The 24,908-nt window shown below is 41.7% G+C and overlaps 1 protein-coding gene, 1 long non-coding RNA gene and 1 pseudogene across 2 annotated transcripts in view; 1 reads left to right on the plus strand and 2 right to left on the minus strand.

Annotated features, from left to right (window-relative positions):
• Positions 1,852–2,543, minus strand: BANF1P5 (BANF1 pseudogene 5; annotated as a pseudogene).
• Positions 15,980–21,262, minus strand: SLC26A4-AS1 (SLC26A4 antisense RNA 1). The gene is made up of 2 exons (NR_028137.1): positions 21,066–21,262; positions 15,980–19,670 (listed from the first exon to the last, which is right to left on the minus strand). It is a non-coding gene; the product is annotated as an SLC26A4 antisense RNA 1 (long non-coding RNA).
• Positions 20,292–24,908, plus strand: part of SLC26A4 (solute carrier family 26 member 4) — a 56,982-nt gene continuing 52,365 nt past the window's right edge. Inside the window, exons 1-3 of the mRNA NM_000441.2 lie at positions 20,292–20,319; positions 21,103–21,269; positions 22,760–22,899. Of these exons, the coding sequence (NP_000432.1) occupies positions 21,106–21,269; positions 22,760–22,899 (304 nt within the window). The 5' untranslated portion in view covers positions 20,292–20,319; positions 21,103–21,105. The remainder of the gene's footprint in view (positions 20,320–21,102; positions 21,270–22,759; positions 22,900–24,908) is intronic.

Consider the following 24,908-nt stretch of genomic DNA (forward strand, 5'->3'; position numbering starts at 1 on the left):
CCTTCCAAAGAATGGTCGACTGGAATAAAATACAACAATGTCAACAAAATTCAGATGAGTCAGAAATGACATATTTTGAGAGATTCGAAAAAATATTTAAACCATATTCAGGATTATCCAAAGAGAGTTAGGCTAATCATCAAAATGATACTCTCCTCAATTTCAATTTCATAAGTGGGTTACTTAGATGAAGAATTAGGACTAACAGTAAAAGGACAACACCATAGTTGGACAATTGCTCACATTCATGATTTGGTTAATTTTGCTGATCAATTATGTCATGCCTTAACTAAAGAAGAGAAAAAGAAGCCAAAGAAAAGAATAAGGCTAATAAGATTATGAATTTATAACTAAAACAATTATCTACCCAGTCTGAACCTCCAAAACATACCCCAAAAACCTCAGAATGAATTTAACCCTCTGCTTTGTCATTATTGCAAAAACACCCTGGTCACTTTAGGAAAGATTGCTGAAAACTAAAATGGAGGCAACAACAACAGGCAAAGGAAAAAAAGAAAAGGGGGGGTGCTCCAAGGAACTTAAAGAGACCTTGCCTTTCCTCCATATTTATATTTTGGGAGAAATAGAAAGTATCTGAAATGGAGAACAAACATAAGCTCTTATTGACACTGAGCTGCATTATCTGTAGTAAATCCCACCTTATTACAAGGTCCCATTCCTTAAAGTAAACCATTTAAATGGTGGGTGTCACTGATATTCCTGTATTGGCACATAAATCTTAGCCTATAGCTTTTCAAGTAGGTCCTTTACAAGAGACTTGTATTTTTCTCTTCGTTCTCTAAGCCACTATCCATTTGATAGGAAGAAATTTCTTAGAACTATATAACACCCATATTTGTTTTTCCCAAAAGGGTAAAATATTTTTAGAATTAGAAGACAAAGTTGAATTACTAGACACCATGAATTTTTCAGAATCTGATCCTTTTAAATTCACAAGCTGCAATTTATATTGCCATAGAGGACACCGAATTATTGATTGATAAACGAATACAAAAATTGTTAAAGGCAATACCTGATTAGTTGTGGTCAGTCTTTCATTGATACTGGAAAAATTATCTTGACTTCCCCAATCAAAATTTAAATAAACTCATCAAAACCTCTTCCAAACCTTAAACAGTATTCTTTAAAGCCAAAGGCTTTAGAAGGAATACAACCTATAGTTCTAGACTATATAAAAAGAGGTCTGATTATTCCCTGTAGAAGCCTGTGTAACACTCCAACCCTTCCTGTAAAAAAACCAGATGACAGAGGATGGAGGTTTGTACAGGATCTGAGAGCAATTAACAACATAGTTATTCCTTGCCATCTGCTAGTGTCAAACAGTCATATGTTGTTGACTACCATCCCCGCTGAAGGTGAGTTTTTCACTGTGACAGATTTATGCAGTGCATGTTTTAGTATTCCTGTGGAGAAAGACAGTCAATTTCTCTTTGCCTTCACTTGGGAGAACAGACAGTACAATGGACAGTCATGCCTCAGGGATACACTGAGAGCTCAACTTACTTTTCACATATATTTGTGATATCTGAGATCTCCCAGATATTGACTTCATTAAGAAATCCAATCCCACCTCAGTATGGAACATAACATCCAAGGAATGAGACTTCCTAGTGACGGGGGATGAAACTCCTGAACATAAAAGGAGTCAAAACTATTGAGATCATCTACAGTGCTTTCTTCGAAAGATCTTGATGAAAAGGGGGAAATGTGAAAATAAATAAAGGTTAAAATGCAGTTCAAACCCCATGAAACACTTCAAGCTTTGAGTGAGTTGTGACTGTGGTCTGTGCCATGTAGCTTGTGGCTGTACCTTCTGATTTTTAATTTTATAGCCACTGACTTTATTGATCTAAAAATCTTCACAGAGACAATGACTGTTGTGTGAAAGAAAAAGGAACCAAATGGTGTGAAACACTAGAAGTGAGGGTAGGGGTGAGGGACGGGGCCAGAAATCCATCAGGAAAGTTGGCAAGTATCACCAGGCAGAGGAAAAGGAAGGGAGGTGCATGAAAGAGTTCGAATTGCAAAGAAGTTGAAACGGTTAGGGGAGAAAACTCCCAAAACACTCCTAGAGTCCACTGGACACAAGCACAACAACAGCAATCATTTCCTTTGTAGAGGACAGAGGAGGAGTCCCCTACTTGGCTGCAAACTCTGGAGACGCAATGCTGGGGCTGGGCATTGAGGGCTTCCCAGAAAGCATCACAAGAAGGCGTCACACCACTCTTGAATGCATCCAAAGCAGTCCTGGGGCTGCTTGGCTTTGGTGCTACTTGTGTCCTTCAGCCATACCTGGGCAAGATCTTCCTCTTTCTTTAGCACCAGCCAAGGACAACACAGGCCTTGTCAAAGCCCCTTTCCTCCAGCTTCTTGCCCAGCACTTCACCAATACTGGCCAGGCTCCCCACTGGTTTTCCCCCATAGGCTCTGCCGTGAAGCCTCAGTGCTTTTGGGAGGTTGTCATCTTAATCAAGCTTAATCAGCAGCTCCAGTTCCCATAACAGTACCTTCTACAACAGGCCTCTCTGGCCAATATGCTTTTTACACTATGGATTAACTTTGTTCCTCACTGTTTGTGTTCTGTAAATGACTAGGAGAGACCAGAGACCAGACCCTCTCTCCTTCCAATCACTAATCTTTGTTATAGATTATCGTCCTCTTTTATTATCCTGTACCTAATTCAGGCCAGATGGTGCAAAAGATTCCATAACTGTTACATCTTCAGTGTAGAATGTAAAATTACCTTTCCTGAAAAGAAAAAGACTGCCGTAACTAATAAGATAAAGCCTTATATAGAAAGCGTTGAAATTCTGTGAAGCTCCCCAAACTTATCTAAGTGAATGAGCCCAAACTTCTACACTTTCAAACACTGACTTTCATTTTTTGGAATCTGTGCTTCCCAAGCAGCCATCCTCAACTTTGTGCTTGAATAAACTCTCTTTAAACTAGATTCTAACCCTTTTGAATATTTGAGGTTGACAAGAGACTGAGTATGCTTCCTAAATTCCTTAGGGAGTGACTAAGCTGGGAATCAAACTCCAGCCCATATTCTGAATCAGTGCTCTATATCACCTCCCACTGGATGGCAATGGGCACCATGGAGGAGACCACAAAACGAAGGAGAAAAGGGAAAGGATTTAACTTTATTGAGCACATTACTATGGCCCAGAAAGTTCTATCATGGTATTTCATTATTATGACAATGTAATGAATGACTATTACTTACTAATACTTGTAAGAAAGGTTAGAAAACTTGCCCAAGGTCACAGATAAGGATTAGCCCTCAAGAAACTTATTTCTGCTGGGAATTAACATAAACCCAGAAGGAACTGGCATAACTACAAGATAATGTCAAATCTGTAGTAGAAATAAAAATATAGTAAAATCTCTGAGGAAGGAGTGTTCAGTCCAGGCGAGATGCTGGTGATACATCCTGGAGAAAAAGGAGGTTGTGATGTAAGGCTTGATGTATAGATTTGGATAAACAGAGAGGAGGAATAAACAGCATTGTTCCTGACTTTTGTTCTTTTCTATACTTGTAATTTTTTTTGTAAGCATTTTATTGTTTATAAGATATGGGCTTTAGGGTTGACAAAAGGTCATTTCCTGATTTACATCATTTTATAGGAACTTCTAAGCAGGGACAGATGCCTAAACTTAGAAAACCATAAGATATGTAAGAGAAAGACCAAATAGGGGAAATCAAGAGCAAAGAGGTTATTCTCTTAAGGTTACAGTAAGGGGGCAAGAAGTAGAAGTTGGGAATGAAAAGAAAGAAAAGCTTAGAAAAGAAAAGTGAAACGTAAGGAAGAAAAGTGAAACTCTCATAAGGAAGTCTATGTTGAAACATGGCTGGGGTTCAAAACTTTCATGGCCCAGGCCACTGACCTGTATGGTCTTAGAGAACCTTTCATAATTAAGATGCTGCACTCTGTGTGTGTGTGTGCACATGCGCATGCACGCACGCTCATTTTTAAAGAATTTTAGAGATATAGAAGAGAAGAAAGGTTTTCTCAGCCAAGACTTTTGCCAGCCTTCTCAGATCAGTAACACGTTGTCTCAATCCAGGGAAGTATTGCTACTGCTTAGCATTTGGGATGAAGCCAACTGCGATGTTCAGCAAATATGAGTTTCATCCTCTTGAAAATAATTGCTTTTACATCTTGTGACATCTTTCATGGACTCTGCAATGAAAATAAATTATAATTTCTTTGGGTGGGAGAAACTAAATTAGAAAGAAAAATGATTAGAAACAGAAGGCAGCTTGACGCTTGTGATGCCAGATTTGTTCAACATGTGATTCGAAAGCTGTGGATAAGTTTTTCTGGCCATTCTCCCAAATAACAACCTTTAGCTTACTTAAAAGCCAAAATCCGTGACTCAAAAGAGTGTGCTAGGAAGAAATTTTTGACAGATAAAATTAACTATTCCTGGCAACATCAAATAGCATATACATATACTCATGTACCTTTTTTTTGGAATGAAGCTCAAAATATACCAAGATCTAACTTAAACTGCTCCCAGGGCTCCAGACCTCAGTTATAATAGTTAACATTTATCAAGTACTTACTATGTGCCAGGCATTGCAACTATTTTTTACACCAACATTATGAGATAGGTAGTATTCTCACATAATCTTATTTTAAAGATGATAAAATTGAGTCAAGGGAAGCTTAAATAACTTGCTCAAGGTCACTCAGATAGAAAATGGTAGAGCTAGGACTGAAACTGAGAAAACGTGTCTCCACTATATTCTTTAAAAAGTCCTTACTAGCTGAGGGTGGTGGCTTATGCCTGTAATGCCAGCACTTTGGGAGGCTGAGGTGGGAAGATTGCTTGATTCCAAGAGTTCAAGACCAGCTTGGGCAACATAGCGAGACCTCATCTCTAACAAAAATTTAAAAGTTAGCCGGACACAGCGGCATATGCCTGTAGTCCCAGCAATTCAGGAGGCTGAGGCAGGAGGATGGCTTGAGCTTAGGAGGGCGAGGCTCCAGTGAGCTAGGATCACACCATTGTACTCTAGCCCGGGCAACAGAGCAAGACCCTGTCTCTGTAAAAACAAACAAACTCCTTACCTTCAGGAAGTTTATAGTCTAATACTGGATTCAGACAAGTACTCTTCAGTGTGGTAAGTACACACATAGTTAAGAGTGCTAAGGTTATATGTAGGAAGGTAATCTAACCTTGCCTTTGGTTATTAGGGAAGTAACTATCAAAGGGAACGCTAAACTAAGAAGTGAGGGATGGAGAAAGGGGGAAAGAGTTCCAGGCAGAGGAAGAAGCAAGTCACCAGGTCCAGAGATAAAAGAGAGCTCAGTGCCATGGGTGCATAGAGAGGCAGGGCATTAGCAATGCCCTGTCAAAGGCAATGGAGAGCCTTTGAAAGATTTTAAACTAAGGAGGAACCTGACCTGATTTGCATTTCTTAGACTTTTGGAGGCTGCTTTGGAGAATAATTTGTGAGTAGAACAAGAGAAGAGGCAAAGAGACCTATTAGGACGCTATTGCTTTGGGGTAATCCTAAGCTGACCCCAGGCAGCAGTGGTGGAAAGGGACAGAAGCAGACAGAACTGGAGAGCTATTCAAAATGTGGACTTGACCATAGATGACATGAAAGAACAGAGAAGAAGGAATCGAAGTGGCTGCTACATTTCTGGCTTGGGCAATGGGATGGATGGGATTGGGATGCCATTCACCAAGATGGGAAAGCCAAGAGGAGGAGTAAGTTAAAAAATGGGGTTGGAAGAAGGAACTAATTCATTTTTTTTTAAATTTTATTATTATTATACTTTAAGTTTTAGGGTACATGTGCACAATGTGCAGGTTTGTTACATATGTATACATGTGCCATGTTGGTGTGCTGCACCCATTAACTCGTCATTTAGCATTAGATATATCTCCTAACGCTATCCCTCCCCCTCCCCCAACCCCACAACCATCCCCAGAGTGTGATGTTCCCCTTCCTGTGTCCATGTGTTCTCATTGTTCAGTTCCCACCTATGAGGGAGAACATGCGGTGTTTGGTTTTTTGTCCTTGCTGTAGTTTGCTGAGAATGATGGTTTCCAGCTTCATCCATGTCCCTACAAAGGACATGAGCTCATCATTTTTTATGGCTGCATAGTATTCCATGGTGTATATGTGCCACATTTTCTTAATCCAGTCTATCATTGTTGGACATTTGGGTTGGTTCCAAGTCTTTGCTATTGTGAATAGTGCCACAATAAACATACGTGTGCATGTGTCTTTATAGCAGCGTGATTTATAATCCTCTGGGTATATACCCAGTAATGGGATGGCTGGGTCAAATGGTATTTCTACTTCTAGATCCCTGAGGAATCGCCACACTGACTTCCACAATGGTTGAACTAGTTTACAGTCCCACCAACAGTGTAAGTGTTGCTATTTCTCCACATCCTCTCCAGCACCTGTTGTTTCCTGACTTTTTAATGATCACCATTCTAACTGGTGTGAGATGGTATCTCATTGTGGTTTTGATTTGCATTTCTCTGATGGCCAGTGATGATGAGCATTTTTTCATGTGTTTTTTGGCTGCATAAATGTCTTCTTTTGAGAAGTGTCTGTTCATATCCTTTGCCCACTTTTTGATGGGGTTGTTTGCTTTTTTCTTGTAAATTTGTTTGAGTTCATTGTAGATTCTGGATATTAGCCCTTTGTCAGATGAGTAGGTTGAAAAAATTTTCTCCCATTCTGTAGGTTGCCTGTTCACTCTGATGATAGTTTCTTTTGCTGTGCAGAAGCCCCATAGTTTAATTAGATCCCATTTGTCAATTTTGCCTTTTGTTGTCATTGCTTTTGGTGTTTTAGACATGAAGTCCTTGCCCATGCCTATGTCCTGAATGGTATTGCCTAGGTTTTCTTCTAGGGTTTTTATGGTTTTAGGTCTAACATATAAGTCTTTAATCCATCTTGAATTAATCTTTGTATAAGGTGTAAGGAAGGGATCCAGTTTCAGCTTTCTACATATGGCTAGCCAGTTTTCCCAGCACCATTTATTAAATAGGGAATCCTTTCCCCATTTCTTGTTTTTGTCAGGTTTGTCAAAGATCAGATGGTTGTAGATATGCGGCATTATTTCTGAGGGCTCTGTTCTGTTCCATTGGTCTATATCTCTGTTTTGGTACCAGTACCATGCTGTTTTGGTTACTGTAGCCTTGTAGTATAGTTTGAAGTCAGGTAGCATGATGCCTCCAGCTTTGTTCTTTTGGCTTAGGATTGACTTGGCAATGCGGGCTCTTTTTTGGTTCCATATGAAGTTTAAATTAGTTTTTTCCAATTCTGTGAAGAAAGTCATTGGTAGCTTGATTGGGATGGCATTGAATCTATAAATTACCTTGGGCAGTATGGCCATTTTCATGATATTGATTCTTCCTACCCATGAGCATGGAATGTTCTTCCATGTGTTTGTATCCTCTTTTATTTCATTGAGCAGTGGTTTGTAGTTCTCCTTGAAGAGGTCCTTCACATTCCTTGTAAGTTGGATTCGTAGGTATTTTATTCTCTTTGAAGCAATTGTGAATGGGAGTTCACTCATGATTTGGCTCTCTGTTTGTCTGTTATTGGTGTATAAGAATGCTTGTGATTTTTGCACATTGATTTTGTATCCTGAGACTTTGCTGAAGTTGCTTATCGGCTTAAGGAGATTTTGGGCTGAGACGATGAGGTTTTCTAGATATATAATCATGTCATCTGTAAACAGGGACAATTTGACTTCCTCTTTTCCTAATTGGATGCCCTTTATTTCCTTCTCCTGCCTGATTGCCCTGGCTAGAACTTCCAACACTATGTTGAATAGGAGTGGTGAGAGAGGGCATCCCTGTCTTGTGCCAGTTTTCAAAGGGAATGCTTCCAGTTTTTGTCCATTCAGTATGATATTGGCTGTGGGTCTGTCATAGATAGCTCTTATTATTTTGAGATACAACCCATCAATACCTAATATATTGAGAGTTTTTAGCATGAAGGGTTGTTGAATTTTGTCAAAGGCCTTTTCTGCATCTATTGAGATAATCGTGTGGTTTTTGTCTTTGGTTCTGTTTATATGCTGGATTACATTTATTGATTTTCGTATGTTGAACCAGCCTTGCATCCCAGGGATGAAGCCTACTTGATCATGGTGGATAAGCTTTTTGATGTACTGCTGGATTCGGTTTGCCAGTATTGTATTGAGGATTTTTGCATCAATGTTCATCAAGGATATTGGTCTAAAATTCTCTTTTTTTGTTGTGTCTCTGCCAGGCTTTGGTATCAGGATGATGCTGGCCTCATAAGATGAGTTAGGGAGGATTCCCTCTTTTTCTATTGATTGGAATAATTTCAGAAGGAATGGTACCAGCTCCTCCTTGTACCTCTGGTAGAATTCGGCTGTGAATCCATCTGGTCCTGGACTCTTTTTGGTTGGTAAGCTATTAATTATTGCCTCAATTTCAGAGCCTGTTATTGGTCTATTCAGGGATTCAACTTCTTCCTGGTTTAGTCTTGGGATGGTGTATGTGTCGAGGAATTTATCCATTTCTTCTAGATTTTCTAGTTTATTTTCGTAGAGTTGTTTATAGTATTCTCTGATGGTAGTTTGTATTTCTGTGGGATCGGTGGTGATATCCCCTTTATCATTTTTTATTGCATCTATTTGATTCTTCTCTCTTTTCTTCTTTATTAGTCTTGCTAGTGGTCTATCAATTTTGTTGATCTTTTCAAAAAACCAGCTCCTGGATTCATTGATTTTTTGAAGGGTTTTTTGTGTCTCTATTTCCTTCAGTTCTGCTCCGATCTTAGTTATTTCTTGCCTTCTGCTAGCTTTTGAATGTGTTTGCTCTTGCTTCTCTAGTTCTTTTAATTGTGATGTTAGGGTGTCAATTTTAGATCTTTCCTGCTTTCTCTTGTGGGCATTTAGTGCTATAAATTTCCCTCTACACACTGCTTTGAATATGTCCCAGAGATTGTGGTGTGTTGTGTCTTTGTTCTCATTGGTTTCAGAGAACATCTTTATTTCTGCCTTCATTTCGTTATGTACCCAGTAGTCATTCTGGAGCAGGTTGTTCAGTTTCCATATAGTTGAGCAGTTTTGAGTGAGTTTCTTAATCCTGAGTTCTAGTTTGATTACACTGTGGTCTGAGAGACAGTTTGTTATAATTTCTGTTTTTTCACATTTGCTGAGGAGTGCTTTACTTCCAACTATGTGGTCAATTTTGGAATAGGTGTGGTGTGCTGCTGAAAAGAATGTATATTCTGTTGATTTGGGGTGGAGAGTTCTGTAGATGTCTATTAGGTCTGCTTGGTGCAGAGCTGAGTTCAATTCCTGGATATCCTTTTTAACTTTCTGTCTTATTGATCTGTCTAATATTGACAGTTGGGTGTTAAAGTCTCCCATTATTATTGTGTGGGAGTCTAAGTCTCTTTGTAGGTCACTCAGGACTTGCTTTATGAATCTGGGTGCTCCTGTATTGGGTGCATATATATTTAGGATAGTTAGCTCTTCTTGTTGAATTGATCCCTTTACCATTATGTAATGGCGTTCTTTGTCTCTTTTGATCTTTGTTGGTTTAAAGACTGTTTCATCAGAGACTAGGATTGCAACCCCTGCCTTTTTTTGTTTTCCATTTGCTTGGTAGATCTTCCTCCATCCCTTTAATTTGAGCCTATGTGTGTCTCTGCACGTGAGATGGGTTTCCTGAATACAGCACGCTGATGGGTCTTGACTCTTTATCCAGTTTGTCAGTCTGTGTCTTTTAATTGGAGCATTTAGCCCATTTACATTTAAGGTTAATATTGTTATGTGTGAATTTGATCCTGTCATTATGATGTTAGCTGGTTATTTTGCTCGTTAGTTGATGCAGTTTCTTCCTAGCCTTGATGGTCTTTACAATTTGGCATGTTTTTGCAGTGGCTGGTACCAGTTGTTCCTTTCCATGTTTAGTGCTTCCTTCAGGAGCTCTTTTAGGGCAGGCCTGTTGGTGACAAAATCTCTCAGCATTTGCTTGTCTGTAAAGTATTTTATTTCTCCTTCACTTATGAAGCTTAGTTTGGCTGGATATGAAAATTCTGGGTTGAAAATTCTTTTCTTTAAGAATGTTGAATATTGGTCCCCACTCTCTTCTGGCTTGTAGAGTTTCTGCCGAGATCAGCTGTTAGTCCGATGGGCTTCCCTTTGTGGGTAACCCAACTTTTGTCTCTGGCTGCCCTTTTAACATTTTTTCCTTCATTTCAACTTTGGTGAATCTGACAATTATGTGTCTTGGAGTTGCTCTTCTTGAGGAGTATCTTTGTGGCGTTCTCTGTATTTCCTGAATTTGAATGTTGGCCTGCCTTGCTAGATTGGGGAAGTTCTCCTGGATAATATCCTGCAGAATGTTTTCCAACTTGGTTCCATTCTCCCCGTCACTTTCAGGTACACCAATCAGACATAGATTTGGTCTTTTCACATAGTCCCCTATTTCTTGGAGGCTTTGTCCATTTCTTTTTATTCTTTTTTCTCTAAACTTCTCTTCTCGCTTCATTTCATTCATTTCGTCTTCCATCACTGATACCCTTTCTTCCAGTTGGTCACATCAGCTACTGAGGCTTGTGCATTCGTCATGTAGTTCTCGTGCCATGGTTTTCAGCTCCATCAGGTCCTTTAAGGACTTCTCTGCATTGGTTATTCTAGTTAGCCATTCGTCTAATTTTTTTTCAAGGTTTTTAACTTCTTTGCCATTGGTTCGAACTTCCTCCTTTAGCTCGGAGTAGTTTGATCTTCTGAAGCCTTCTTCTCTCAACGCGTCAAAGTCATTCTCCTTCCAGTTTTGTTCCATTGCTGGTGAGGAGCTGCGTTCCTTTGGAGGAGGAGAGGCACTCTGATTTTTAGAGTTTCCAGTTTTTCTGCTCTGTTTTTTCCCCATCTTTGTGGTTGTATCTACCTTTGGTCTTTGATGATGGTGACGTATAGATGGGTTTTTGGTGTGGATGTCCTTTCTGTTTGTTAGTTTTCCTTCTAACAGTCAGGACCCTCAGCTACAGGTCTGTTGGAGTTTGCTGGAGGTCCACTCCAGACGCTGTTTGCCTGGGTATCAGCAGCAGTGGCTGCAGAACAACGGATATTGGTGAACCGTAAATGCTGCTGCCTGATCGTTCCTCTGGAAGTTTTGTCTCAGAGGAGTACCCGGCTGTGTGAGGTGTCAGTCTGCCCCTACTGGGGGGTGCCTCCCATTTGGGCTACTCGGGGGTCAGGGACCCACTTAAGGAGGCAGTCTGCCCGTTCTCAGATCTCAAGCTGCATGCTGGGAGAACCACTACTCTCTTCAAAGGTGTTAGAGAGGGACATTTAATTCTCCAGAGGTTACTGCTGTCTTTTTGTTTGTCTGTGCCCTTCCCCCAGAGGTGGAGCCTACAGAGGTAGGCAGGCCTCCTTGAGCTGTGGTGGGCTCCATCCAGTTCGAGCTTCCCAGCCGCTTTGTTTACCTAATCAAACAACTAACTTGGCAATGGCTGGCGCCCCTCCCCCAGCCTCGCTACTGCCTTGCAGTTTGATCTCGGACTGCTGTGCTAGCAATGAGCGAGACTCCATGGGCGTAGGATCCTCCTCCAAGCCAGGTGTGGGATATAATCTCCTGGTGTGCCGTTTTAAGCCTGTTGGAAAAGTGCAGTATTAGGGTGGGAGCGACCCGATTTTCCAGGTGCCGTCTGTCACCACTTTCTTTGACTAGAAAAGGGAATTCCCTGACCCCTTGCACTTCCCAGGTGAGGCGATGCCTCGCCCTGTTTCGGCTCACGCACGGTGCGCTGCACCCACTGTCCTGCACCCACTGTCCGGCACTCCCCAGTGAGATGAACCCAGTACCTCAGTTGGAAATGCAGAAATCACCCGTCTTCTGCGTCACTCACACTGGGACCTGTAGACTGGAGCTGTTCCTATTCGGCCATCTTCAAACTAATTCATTTTTTACCATGTTGAGGTGTCATGCAACATACGAAAGCATGTGGTGATCATTCTTTTTTTTTCTTTTTTTTTTTGAGACAGGATCTCACTCTGTCACCCAGGCTAGAGTGCAGTGGTGTGATCACAGCTCACTGCAGCCTCAAATTCCCAGGCTCAAGTGATCCTCCCACCATAGCCTCTCAAGTAGCTGGGACTACAGATGTACCCCTCCATGTCTGGCTTATTTATTTATTTATTTATTTATTTACTTAGGGATGAGGTCTCACTGTGTTGCCCAGGCTGGTCTTAAACTCCTGGGCTTAAGTAGTCCTCCTTCTGAGCCTCCCAAAATGCTAGGATTATAGGCATGAGTCACTGGGCCTGGCCTCATTCTTTATTTAATAAAAGAATAACTCATGTGAGTTATCTTAATCATCTAATTCTTCTAACGTATTTAAAGAAGTTTGATTCACAAAATTTTTTACAGGGGCCAAGCGCGGTAGCTCACGCCTGTAAACCCCAGCACTTTGGAAGGCCAAGGCGGAAGGGTCACTTGAGACCAGGAATTCAAGACTATCCTAGGCAACATAGTGAGACCCCATCTCTACAAAAAATTAAAAACTAGCCAGGTATGGTGGTGCATGCCTGTAATCCCAGCTATTTGGAAGGCTGAGGTGGAAGGATCGCTTGAGCCCAGGAGATCGAGTCTGCAATGAGCTATCATCACACCACTGCACTCCAGCCTGGGTGACAGAGTGTGACCCTGTCTCTAAAACAAACAAACAAACAAACAATACCAATAGACCATTTGTTTTGCATCTAGTAATCCACAACTATCAAGACATACGTATATATAATTTATCTTATCACTAGGGCATTTGAAACATAATATAATTTCTTTTAAAATGATTGACAAAGTAACAAATTGACCTATTAAAAAATCACCTCAAATAGTACAAAATACTATAAAATAAAAATATCTCTTAATTAGTATGAACTTATGTTTAATTTAATAGAAATATAGATGATTAGATATAGAAATATTATTGATGTGTATATATGCCTTGGTTGATATACACACATATTTCTTTGCTCTGTCAGCTGAAAGGGCCTAGAGCAACAATTCCCCTGCAGCAGGGAACACTCTGTCACCCAGATATTGGTTGCTTATACCATTCACCGATAAAAGGAACAAGTGTTCCTTTGAGAAATGGCTGATTTTACACAGGAATACACGAGATCAGCCTGGAGCATCTTACAGTGCCAAAAAGTAAGAAAATGCTCCAAAACCAAAAGACAAAACCACCCTACATTGGTGGGGCTATGTCAAAGGGCACAGAAGCCAACTGAAAGAGCTCCTAATGGCCAAGCCTGGAACAATTTGATTTCTTAAAAAGTACTGTTGGTTTATAATGCAACATATAAAATAAATATTCATGATTTTATGACATGAAGAAATAATTGAATAAATGAATAAATGGAGGAGAAGAGACAAATCTCTCTTGCAGAAGAATTCCAAATAATTTATTTAGGTATTCTGCCCTCAAGGATGTGGAATTCAACTCCCCACTCCTCAAGCATAGGCTGCATATAGTGACTTCCTTCCGAAGATTGCAGAATGGGCTGGGCAAGGTGGCTCACGCCTGCAATCCCAGCACTTTGGGAGGCTGAGGTGGGAGGATCGCTTGAGCCTGGGAGATCGAGACTGCAATGAGCCATGAAGGTGCCACTGCACTCACCCTGGGCAACAGAATGAGATCATGTCTAAAAAAAAAAAAAAAAGAGTAAGAGAGATTATAGAAGAATGGAAAAGGGGAGAGGTAAGGGGAGTTGCTTTACAGTGGTAAAACCTAATAAACACTACCTCTCAGGTGATCAAGGTTAATATCAACAATAAGTCATGTTGACTATGTACCCTTGATAATTTATGATGAAAATGGCACTTTGTATGGTTTTTCTCCCATAAAACACTACTGTAGTAATGAGAAAGACCAGGCAAATTCCAAAAGAGGAACATCCTGTAAAATACTTGGCCAATACTTCTCAAACTGTCAAGTTTATGAAAAGCAAGAGAAGCCTGAGAACCTATCACAGCCAAGTGGAGCCTAAGGAAACAGGACAACCCAATGTAATGTGGTAACCTGGATGAGATCTTGGAACAAAGTGGCTCATGCCTGTAATCCCAGCTACTCGGGAGGCTGAGGCAGAAGAATCACTTGAACCTGGAGGCGGACGTTGCAGTGAGCCAAGATTGTACCACTGAGGCAGGAGAATCACTTGAACCCAGGAGGCGGACATTGCAGTGAGCCGAGATTGCACCACTGTACTCCAGCCTGTGCAACTTTGTCTCAGAAAAAAAAAAAAAAGAGGGACAAGTTTCAAATGTTCAGATTTTTTTTCCCCTTTACAAGTGTCATTAAAAGATACAGGTACAAAAGAAATTTTATTGAGAGAAGTATCTCCAAGAAGTTCAAAATATTTTAGAGATGTTTTTTTCCTCACCCCCTGAGTTCAAAGATTCTCAGCATTTTACAGAAGAGGCCCCTCCTCTCCTCCTATAAATGACCTCTAAATGTTGGACCGTCTGAGGGCTTGGTGCTGGTCTTTTATCTGCTTCTCTCCTCACCCTAAATGCCTGGTTTCAGTTGCCACATATATACTGAGGACGTCCAGTTTGCTGTGCCCGGGTCTGACTTATGTGGATTTCAGTCTTGCCGGCCTTCTTTTTGTTTCTCAAGTGCATCAAGTTCTTTCCTAACTCAGAGTTTTTGCATTTGCTGTTTCCTCTTCCAGGAAGGCTGTCTTTTTCTCATCCTTTAGTCTCTCTTCAAATGTCATTTCCTCTGAAAGAGAAAGGCCTTCCCTGAACACCCCCTCTAAGGTGGTCCTCCTCCTCCCCTTGCTGTGTGTTGCTCCATCAGTAATTCCACAAGACATCTTTCTCTTTCTCCCATAGCATTTCGTCACAACAGAATGTTATCTGATTTATTTTTTTTGCTGATAATCACTGTCCCCCATTAGAAGTACTTTGAAGGCAGGAACTTTGACAAACTTGTTCACTGCTGTATCCCCGACACTTAGATAGTGTTTGATACAAGTTAAGGGTTCACTAAATACTCATGGTGTAAGTAAATAAATGTATGAATCAATGAATGAATAATTAAACGAATGAATGGAATACTTAAACATCCAACTCGTGGTAACACAGCACATCAGTGTTTACTTGAAACAATCCTCAAGCTTCCCTTTTCTCCCTCCATTAACAAACCACAGATTTCATGAGATAAGATATGCAAGGATAACTTTAAAAGTGCAATACACTTAAATAATAAGAAATTTGGAAGGATCCTGAAATTATTCTTTGCTTAGAAAACTATGCCATTATTGGCTCGACATAGTGGCACAGGCCTGTAATGCCAGCTACTTCAGGGACTGAGGTGAGACCCCCATCTCTAAAAAAAAGAAAGAAAACATCCAGGCCAAGTGCAGTTGGCTCCTGCCTGTAATGTCATTTTATAATCAGCATTTTGGAAGGCTGAGGTGGTAGGATTATTTGAGCCCAGGAGTTTGAGACCAGCCTGGGTAACAAAGCGAGACCCCATCTCTTGAAAAAAAAAAATCATCATTAAAACAAACATTAAAAGAAACCCACCTGGGTGTGGTGGCTCACACATGTAATCCCAGCACCCTGGGAGGATGAAGCAGGTGGATCTCTTGAGCACAGGAGTTTGAGACCAGCCTGAGCAAGATGGCAAAACCCTGTCTCTACAAAAAATACAAAAATTAGCCGGGTGTGGTGGCACATGCCTATAGTCTCAACTACTTGGGAGGCTGAGGTGGAGAATGGCTTGAGCTTTGGAGGTGAAGGTTGCAGTGAGCTGAGATAGTGTCACTGCACTTCAACCTGGGTGACAGAGCCAGACCCTGTTTAAAACAAACAAACAAACACACACACACACACACACACACAGAAAACCCCTCAAAACCCAAAACTATGCCATCATTTCGTTCTAGCAATTTACTAAACCACATATCAAGTTTGCATTCATATTAAAGAAGAGGCAGATGGGCTCTGCCTGAGAAATTTATTGAGTTATAGTTTTATTGACACTGTAAGTTGTTTAAAATTGAATGGATTGCCACATAATATTTACAAATAATTTCATTTTTTGATGTTTTAATGGTTGGATTCTCTTCTTTTAAAACTAGTTTTTTTTCTACCCAAATATTTCTCAAAATTCCATTGTTAAACAATCAATTGATCAATAATTTAACAAGTCTGGTACCTATTATATTGTCATAATTTGTCAAGGTATTGTGTAGGGAAATAAAGAGACTAGCATTATAATTTTACTTTAATAAAAATGTATACCTATGTCTGCATAGAAAGAATAAATAAAAAAAGAAGCAAAACAGTGATTATCTGGATAATGAGATAAAATGTGATTACTATATTATACATTAATGTAGTTTCCAAATTATTTACTACAGGCACATCTTATTTTTGTAACACCATAAAAGACATATACTATTTATGTCCCTAGGGAGCATATCTTATAACTGGAGAAGAAAATAAAGTAGCATACAGTAAACAAATAGAAAACAATTGAGTGCAAGATAAAAATAACAACAAAAAACCAAGAAAACAATTGAGTGCAAAACTGTATGATTACTGAGAATAAGCCCAATAAGTTGCTCAGAGAAGAAGAGATCAGAAATATAGAAAGAAAGTTCAGTTCAGTTCTCTTTTTGTATAAGTATGACAAAAATTTAGCATTTGCTATCTTGAGAAAATTAACACGCATAATGAAATAAAAGCTCAGGATTAGGCCTGGCTCAAGTGATCCTCCCGCCTCAGCTTCTCAAAGTGTTGGGATTACACTGTGAGCCACAGCGCCCAGCCAACATGTTTGCATTCTTTTGCAATTCTTCTGATTTGAGAACATTTTAAATTGTAAAAAAAAAAAAAAAAAGAAAAAATTTATACCACAATATTCGCTCTCAGACAAAAATAATGTAGCAAGATTGACTGCTCTTAAGTTAAATAAACGAAGGATTCAATTAAATCATTCTTGTAGCACACGTAGTCACTCAAAAGCATAGATACTCTGTCAGGTGTGGTGGTGTGCACCTATAGTCCCAGCTATTCTGGAGACTGGGAGTTCAAGTCCAGCCTGGGCAAAATAGCAAGATCCCATCTCTAAAAAAGAAAAAAAAGGCATAGATACACTATAAATTTATGTAAATATCTATATTTTATTAATTATAGAATTCTATTATAAAACTCATTTTATGAATCACAAAATACGCTATCAATTAAACTATAATATATAGTAGATCATCAATTATAACATGAACCCTGATAAAATGTGAAAAATCTGTATTTTATAATCAGTGAAATAAGATACACATTTTGTGACCATTTGATTAGTGTCTACTGCACCCATAAATATGAGGCCAGGGTATAAGCTTTTGTTCATCATTGTACCCACAGCCAGCACAAATAATTTCCTAATAAATCCTTGAATGAATGAATGAATGAACAGGTGAATGCGTAATCAAACAAGGGAGTTTGTCTTACACTGCAAATGCCTAAATGATAAATAAGAAAATGCCTTTTAAAAAAGTATTAACTGCTAAATAAGTACTGTAAAGTATCAATAATATTGTCTGATATTTATTTTTAAGTGATGCATCTATTTCTTTGGAAAGAAGTCCTGAATATTTTAAAAGTCTGATAAATAAGAACCACCCACCTCTGTGTGAAACAGGAGAAGGTTGCCTTATAAAGCCCAAGTGAGTAATCTAAGGTGTTTAATATCACAATTAAATAGGGTGGAGAGAGCAAGCTGTTATTTCCTCCTACTCTTCTGTTTTTAAAAAGCCAAATTCAAACGGTCTGCCTTTTACCTATGAGAAAAGCAGTTCTATACCCTTATAGAATCCTGTAACAGAGATACCATTTTGTTCTGCCCCAGCTATTTCTGCTATGGAAAAGCATTGAACAGAAAAAAGCAATTATCTTCATCCAGATACATGCAGGACTTATTATATTGTGATTATTGAACCAAACTCTTATATAGAGAGATGCATTTCAAATAAGAATTCTATTAGCCAAGCTAAGTTACTCTTTTGCCTCCTGTTGTTACTCAAGTCTTTTCTCTTCTGTCCTTCTGCCAGCCTTACCCCACTCCTTAATCCTCTGAACCAGCAAACCATTGCCAAGTTCTGATGCAAAGTGGTTTATAGGCCTGACTGGACCAGACTAAAAGTGTTCAAAATAGCAAGCAACAAGGAGCAGAAATCCATATTAGAATGGGATATGGACTATATTTATATTGGTACAGAATGCCTTCAATAAAGAGTTGTGAGTTGTGTAGGTGAGTTGCCATGGAGCTACAAATATGAGTTGATATTCTGAAATCCTAGACAGCCATCTCCAAGGTTAAGAAAAATCCTTATGCACTCACTTGCAAAGATATCCACAGCATGCTCTTAATGGAGAAAAACAAAGCCTTAGATCAAATATGTAAAGTAATTTTTAGTTTTTTGAAAAGGTATGTTTGGGCTATAGATAAATCTGTTCAAAAAACATGAGAGAAGATAATAATGGTTGAAAGGAGACACAGTGCTTGCCCTCAAGAAGTTTTTGTCTAGTGAGGGAGAGAGAACTTGTATGTAAATAAAATTGTGTTACTAAGGTAGATAGTGAGAAGTAACTTAAGAGAGGATCAGATAAGGTATTAAGAGAATACAGAAAAGGGTCTGGATTAATTCTGAACAGCATCAAAGAATGTTCTTGCAAGAGATAGTGTTTTCACCAGATCTTGAAGGTATGGATGAGGGTATACAGAGTGAGTATATTCAGATTCTACTTTAAAACAAATACTTTCCTCTGTTGTAGTGGAGTTGAGCTATACATCCAACAATAATGAAAAAATACACGCATATATACATATATGGAGAGAGATACATATTTTAGTACATGTAGCAATTGATTAATAAATGTACAGTTTAAGTCGCATGCAAAACCTTGGAGTGATAGCAAACTTCATTGTAGGATGTTTAGCAGCATCTCTGGTCTCTACTCACTAGATCCCAATAGCATCTCCCTAGGTGTGACAACCAAAAATGTCTCCAGGCATTGACCTCTGGAGGCAAAAAAAGCCCTTTATTAAGAACCAGTGGTATACATAAGTAAAACATACACAAGAGATTCCTCCCCTCTTCTCTGTATGTGAATAAAAATTGCAAAGTTCATGACCTGGATTTTCCTTTTAGGTTTCTTCTTTAGTGGTTCTTAACTTCATTGGGTGAAGTAAGCCTTTGAAGATCTGTTGAAAGCTGTTGACTCATTCACTTCTCAGGAAAACGCACATGCTGACTACCATTTCAGAGAATTTGCATCAGGGTTCTCTGGGGAGGAGTTCTGAGTTCTGTTTCCAGGAGCTCGTAGAATTGTCATGGTCTGCATATGCAAGGCAGGTGGATTACGGAAGGTTGATGTACAGAGGTCTGTATTTTGGAGCCTCTTCTGTATTTACTTCAGAACACTAACAATCAGGCGAGAATGTTCTGGTTTATCAAACCCTTCCTTCTGCCTTTCATCTTAACCATGCATTAGTTTTAACAAAGTTCATCCCAACAGAAGACAAAACACTGATGAGGTAGGATAGCTCCAGCTCCTCCTCCCTCTCTTCTAGTCTTGATTTCCATGTAGTCCAGTTTATTCCTTCCCTGATTGTCCAGGAGAATGAGAAAAAGAAAAAACAGAGTCTAGTGGGTAAGAAAGGGCCACCTGGACGGCTTGATTTGGATTGTGAAATAAAACACACACACATGCACACGTAGAATAAGTGGCTAAAATCTGAGTAAATCGTGAACTCTCTGTATCCTCCACCCATTGAATACTCCTAAAAGACTTTCTAGAAATTCAAGGACTTATTAATATAGAAACCTGGCCATTGTTCCTCTTCTCCTCCCCATGTGGTATGAGAGCACCTGTGGCAGGCTCCCAGAGACCACGGACCTCTTCCTCTAGGCGGGCTCTGCTCTTCTTTAAGGAGTCCCACAGGGCCTGGCCCGCCCCTGACCTCGCAACCCTTGAGATTAGTAACGGGATGAGTGAGGATCCGGGTGGCCCCTGCGTGGCAGCCAGTAAGAGTCTCAGCCTTCCCGGTTCGGGAAAGGGGAAGAATGCAGGAGGGGTAGGATTTCTTTCCTGATAGGATCGGTTGGGAAAGACCGCAGCCTGTGTGTGTCTTTCCCTTCGACCAAGGTGTCTGTTGCTCCGTAAATAAAACGTCCCACTGCCTTCTGAGAGCGCTATAAAGGCAGCGGAAGGGTAGTCCGCGGGGCATTCCGGGCGGGGCGCGAGCAGAGACAGGTGAGTTCGCCCTGAAGATGCCCACACCGCCCGGCCCGGGCTCCACTCCCGGGGAGGCCTCGAGGGTTGCGGATGGGACTCTTAAGTGGTCACGGATCAGGTGGGCAGGGGGCAGTACAGCTTTCTTTCTGAGACGCCGAGAGCGAACAGGCTGCTCGGAAAACAGGACGAGGGGAGAGACTTGCTCAATAAGCTGAAAGTTCTGCCCCCGAGAGGGCTGCGACAGCTGCTGGAATGTGCCTGCAGCGTCCGCCTCTTGGGGACCCGCGGAGCGCGCCCTGACGGTTCCACGCCTGGCCCGGGGGTCTGCACCTCTCCTCCAGTGCGCACCTGGAGCTGCGTCCCGGGTCAGGTGCGGGGAGGGAGGGAATCTCAGTGTCCCCTTCCAGCCTTGCAAGCGCCTTTGGCCCCTGCCCCAGCCCCTCGGTTTGGGGGAGATTTCAGAACGCGGACAGCGCCCTGGCTGCGGGCCATAGGGGACTGGGTGGAACTCGGGAAGCCCCCAGAGCAGGGGCTTACTCGCTTCAAGTTTGGGGAACCCCGGGCAGCGGGTGCAGGCCACGAGACCCGAAGGTTCTCAGGTGCCCCCCTGCAGGCTGGCCGTGCGCGCCGTGGGGCGCTTGTCGCGAGCGCCGAGGGCTGCAGGACGCGGACCAGACTCGCGGTGCAGGGGGGCCTGGCTGCAGCTAACAGGTGATCCCGTTCTTTCTGTTCCTCGCTCTTCCCCTCCGATCGTCCTCGCTTACCGCGTGTCCTCCCTCCTCGCTGTCCTCTGGCTCGCAGGTCATGGCAGCGCCAGGCGGCAGGTCGGAGCCGCCGCAGCTCCCCGAGTACAGCTGCAGCTACATGGTGTCGCGGCCGGTCTACAGCGAGCTCGCTTTCCAGCAACAGCACGAGCGGCGCCTGCAGGAGCGCAAGACGCTGCGGGAGAGCCTGGCCAAGTGCTGCAGGTAGCGGCCGCGCGGGCCTGCGTAGAGAGAAGCGGAGCGGGGCGTCCACGCCTTGGGGAGGGAAGGGCGTCCCCAGCGGGCGAGAGTGGGGTGCGGGCGGCGGAGCCCCTGGGCGCCAGCTGCTTCTCCCAGAGGCCCGACTTTCGGTCTCCGGTCCTCCACGCCGCCCTTCTGGTGGGAGGGTGGCTCCATCAGTCTCGGGCCCGAAATGAACTTACCTGGGAAACTCGCCTTTGGGGAGAGTGGGTTCTAGGAGCCCCGTCTCTCTTTTTCCTCTCTGAAGGAAACTTGGAGTGCCTCTTGGGGTACAGTGGGTCCCTGTTGCCTTCTTGGGAGCTTGTTTAAATGAAATGAATAGGGAAACCCAGCTCTTGACCAGGAGGAGTCCTTGAAACACTCAAGCTAAGTAGGCGGGCTACCATTCAGTTAGAGACCAGGATGCAAGCTAGAACCCAGGGGAGCGCGGGGTGTGCCAAGTACTTCATCAGCAGGCTGTGGGACCCCTGGGGAAAGCCACCCTCAGTCTCTAAACCCAAACATGCCGTAACTAGATGTCACAAACATAAAGAAATTAGAGTTTCTAAAACCTTTCATTATAGAACATTTCAAATATATGCATAAGTAGACGTAGTAGTATAATGAACTCCCCACCCCCACCGTTTTTAACCCATCACTCGGCCTCAACTGTGATCAAATCCAAGTTACTCTTGTTTCTTGTATCTACACCTACTTGCTCCCTCCAGTATTATTTTTAAGCAAATCTCATATAGCATACTGTCTTTATGTATTTTACTGCATATCTTTAAAGACTCTTAAAAAATATAACCACATTTCATGATCACACCTTAATATCTAAAAATAACCTCCTAATATCAAAAATTGAGTCATTATTAAAATGTCCAATCGTCCCATAAATGCCTTAATTAAAAAACAATTTATTCAAATCAGGAGTTATACCACCTACTTTTGATATTTTTCTTTCATCTGTAGGTCACTGAATTTAAAAACTACCAAGTAGCAAGGTATAAGGTATACATTCCTCATGCTAAGATTTTTGTAAAAACTAGCTCCAGGCTTGTATTGCCAAAATATACTCAGTGTGTTTATCTTCTTTAAAGAAAATAATAATAATAAGGCGCCTGGATTAGGAGTCTGAAAAGTAATCTCCATTTAGAGACTCCACATCCATCAGTCTCTGGCTGGACCAGAAAATAGGTTTTTGTGTAGGAATATTTTTTCAGAGGATTAAAAATGTGAGCGAGGGGTGGGACACTTAATCCTGTGTTCTCTAGAAGAGTGCATTTAAAAGGATAGATACAGTTCTTGGCAAAAGCATGGTAAGCACTTCAGGGTTATTATTTTCCAGGAAATACTTATCCTTTTTCCAAATAGTTATAAACATCAGCAGAATCCAGTTCATAACTTTGTGATTTGCAAATTGGTTGTGACTGAGATTGGATTGAAAACCCAGTTTTCTTGCTTTTTGACAGTTGTTCAAGAAAGAGAGCCTTTGGTGTGCTAAAGACTCTTGTGCCCATCTTGGAGTGGCTCCCCAAATACCGAGTCAAGGAATGGCTGCTTAGTGACGTCATTTCGGGAGTTAGTACTGGGCTAGTGGCCACGCTGCAAGGTAAGATGTTGGCAGATTGAGAGTTCTGGTCTCCAGCAGGAGTTTAACACTTCTCCCCAGCTACCATAGGTCTGTGACAGATGGTTGCTTACCCTTCAAGGCCTGTATCTTTCCTGTAGAGCCCCTTAGTGGAGAGAGTCACCTCTCTTCTCCCCTTCCTTAGAGTTCTCTTCCTGGGAAACTGCTGCCCCACTAGGTGCAGAGGTCCAATTTAGAGGCATATACTAGGCAGTGGCTTCTCAATTTTTTTAAATTTTATTTTATTTGAGACGGGGGCTCGCTCTGTCACCTAGGCTGGAGTGCAGTGGCGCAATCCTGGCTCACTGCAAGCTCCGTCTCCCGGGTTCACGCCATTCTCCCGCCTCAGCCTCCCCAGTAGCTGGGACTACAGGCGCCCGCCACTACGCCCGGCTAATTTTTTGTATTTTTAGTAGAGACGGGGTTTCACCGGGTTAGCCAGGATGGTATCGACCTCCTGACCTCGTGATCCGCCTGCCTTGGCCTCCCAAAATGCTGGGATTACAGGCGTGAGCCACTGCACCCAGCCAGCTTCTCTATTTTCATTGACCACAATTCAATAAGAAATGTGTAAAGAGTTTCAAGTCAAGATTTAAAAAAAAAAAAGAAATGTGTTACATCCTGATATATACATATATATCTAAAGTTCCTGTGAAATATTTATTATAACAATGTGCTAATCTTTCACTTTGTTCTATTATGCTTAGGTTTTTTAAATGATGATTGCAGCACATTAAATTATTTTATATCCACACGTGGATCTTTTTTGTTGGTTTGTTTTGCTTTGCTTTTTAGAGATACAGTCTTGCTCTGTCACCCAGGCTGGTGTGCAGTGGCACGATCTTGGCTCAATGCAACCTCTCTGCCTCTCGGGTTCAAGTGATTCTTGTGCCTCAGCCTTCTGAGTAGCTGGGGCTACAGGCATGTGCCACCATGTCCAGCTAATTACTGTATTTTTAGTAGAGATGGGGTTTCGCCATGTTGGCCAGGGTGGTCTGGAACTCCTAACCTCAAGTGATCCGCCCTCCTTGGTATCCCAAAGTACTGTGATTACAGGCATGAGCCACCATGCCCAGCCTCCCACACGTGGATCTTGAGGTGTAGTTTGAAACTGGCTTAAGGAAAAGTGAAGGGAGCTTCCTAGCCTGGACTCCACATGAATGTTTTGCCTGCCCCTCATCCCTTTTTAAAAAAATTCATCCTCTTATTTTAATGTGTGGGAAAATGTGCCAACATAGGTGGTTATTTGTTCTTTTATAAACTGAGTTCATACCATAATATTCCCATAAGCATCTTAGAAATCTGTTGTATAGTTGGTGCCTAGCAGCATGGCATTCTCCTCTGTCCCCTATCCCCACCATCTCGTTTCTGCCCCACCCCCAACACCCTGACCAATTTCCCAAAGACCCTGAATCATGAAAACAGAAATATCGTTATTTATTATAATTTGTGAAACACCTAATATGTTCCAGGCACTAGGTATGCTGACACGAATAAGATGCATCCTCTGCTTCCAAGGAACTCATAGTCCAATGGAGAAAGAGAAAACAATTCAATGTGATAAGGGCTGTGGCAGGGGAGTGCAAATTACTTGCTAAGGGAGTGCAAATGAGGTTCACTCAAAGCGGTCTTAGGGGATCTTGAATAGCTTCCTGGAAGTTGAATGTCAAAGCTGAGTTTCCCTGATGGCTAAGTCTGAGTTTGCCAAGTGATGGGAAGTAGGGTGGGGTGGGGATGGCTTGAAAATAGACTATTTCAGAAGCTAGTAATGAATGTTGAGCAATATTGTGAGCTAAAATTTGGCTATGGAGCTTTCAAGATTGCTCAGATCAGGCCAGGTAGATGCCCGAAGAGAAGGAGGATGGCCTATGAACCCAGGGTGGAGCCTCAGCCTGATCAAGCATGTTCTTAATCACAAAGGTGGACGGGAGAGAGACTAGGATGGGCTGTGTGGTTCCTAAGTTAAACAATGCCAAGTATTCTACACTGTG

This window comes from Homo sapiens, chromosome 7 (genome assembly GCF_000001405.40).
Source record: "Homo sapiens chromosome 7, GRCh38.p14 Primary Assembly".
Classification (NCBI taxonomy): domain Eukaryota; kingdom Metazoa; phylum Chordata; class Mammalia; order Primates; family Hominidae; genus Homo; species Homo sapiens.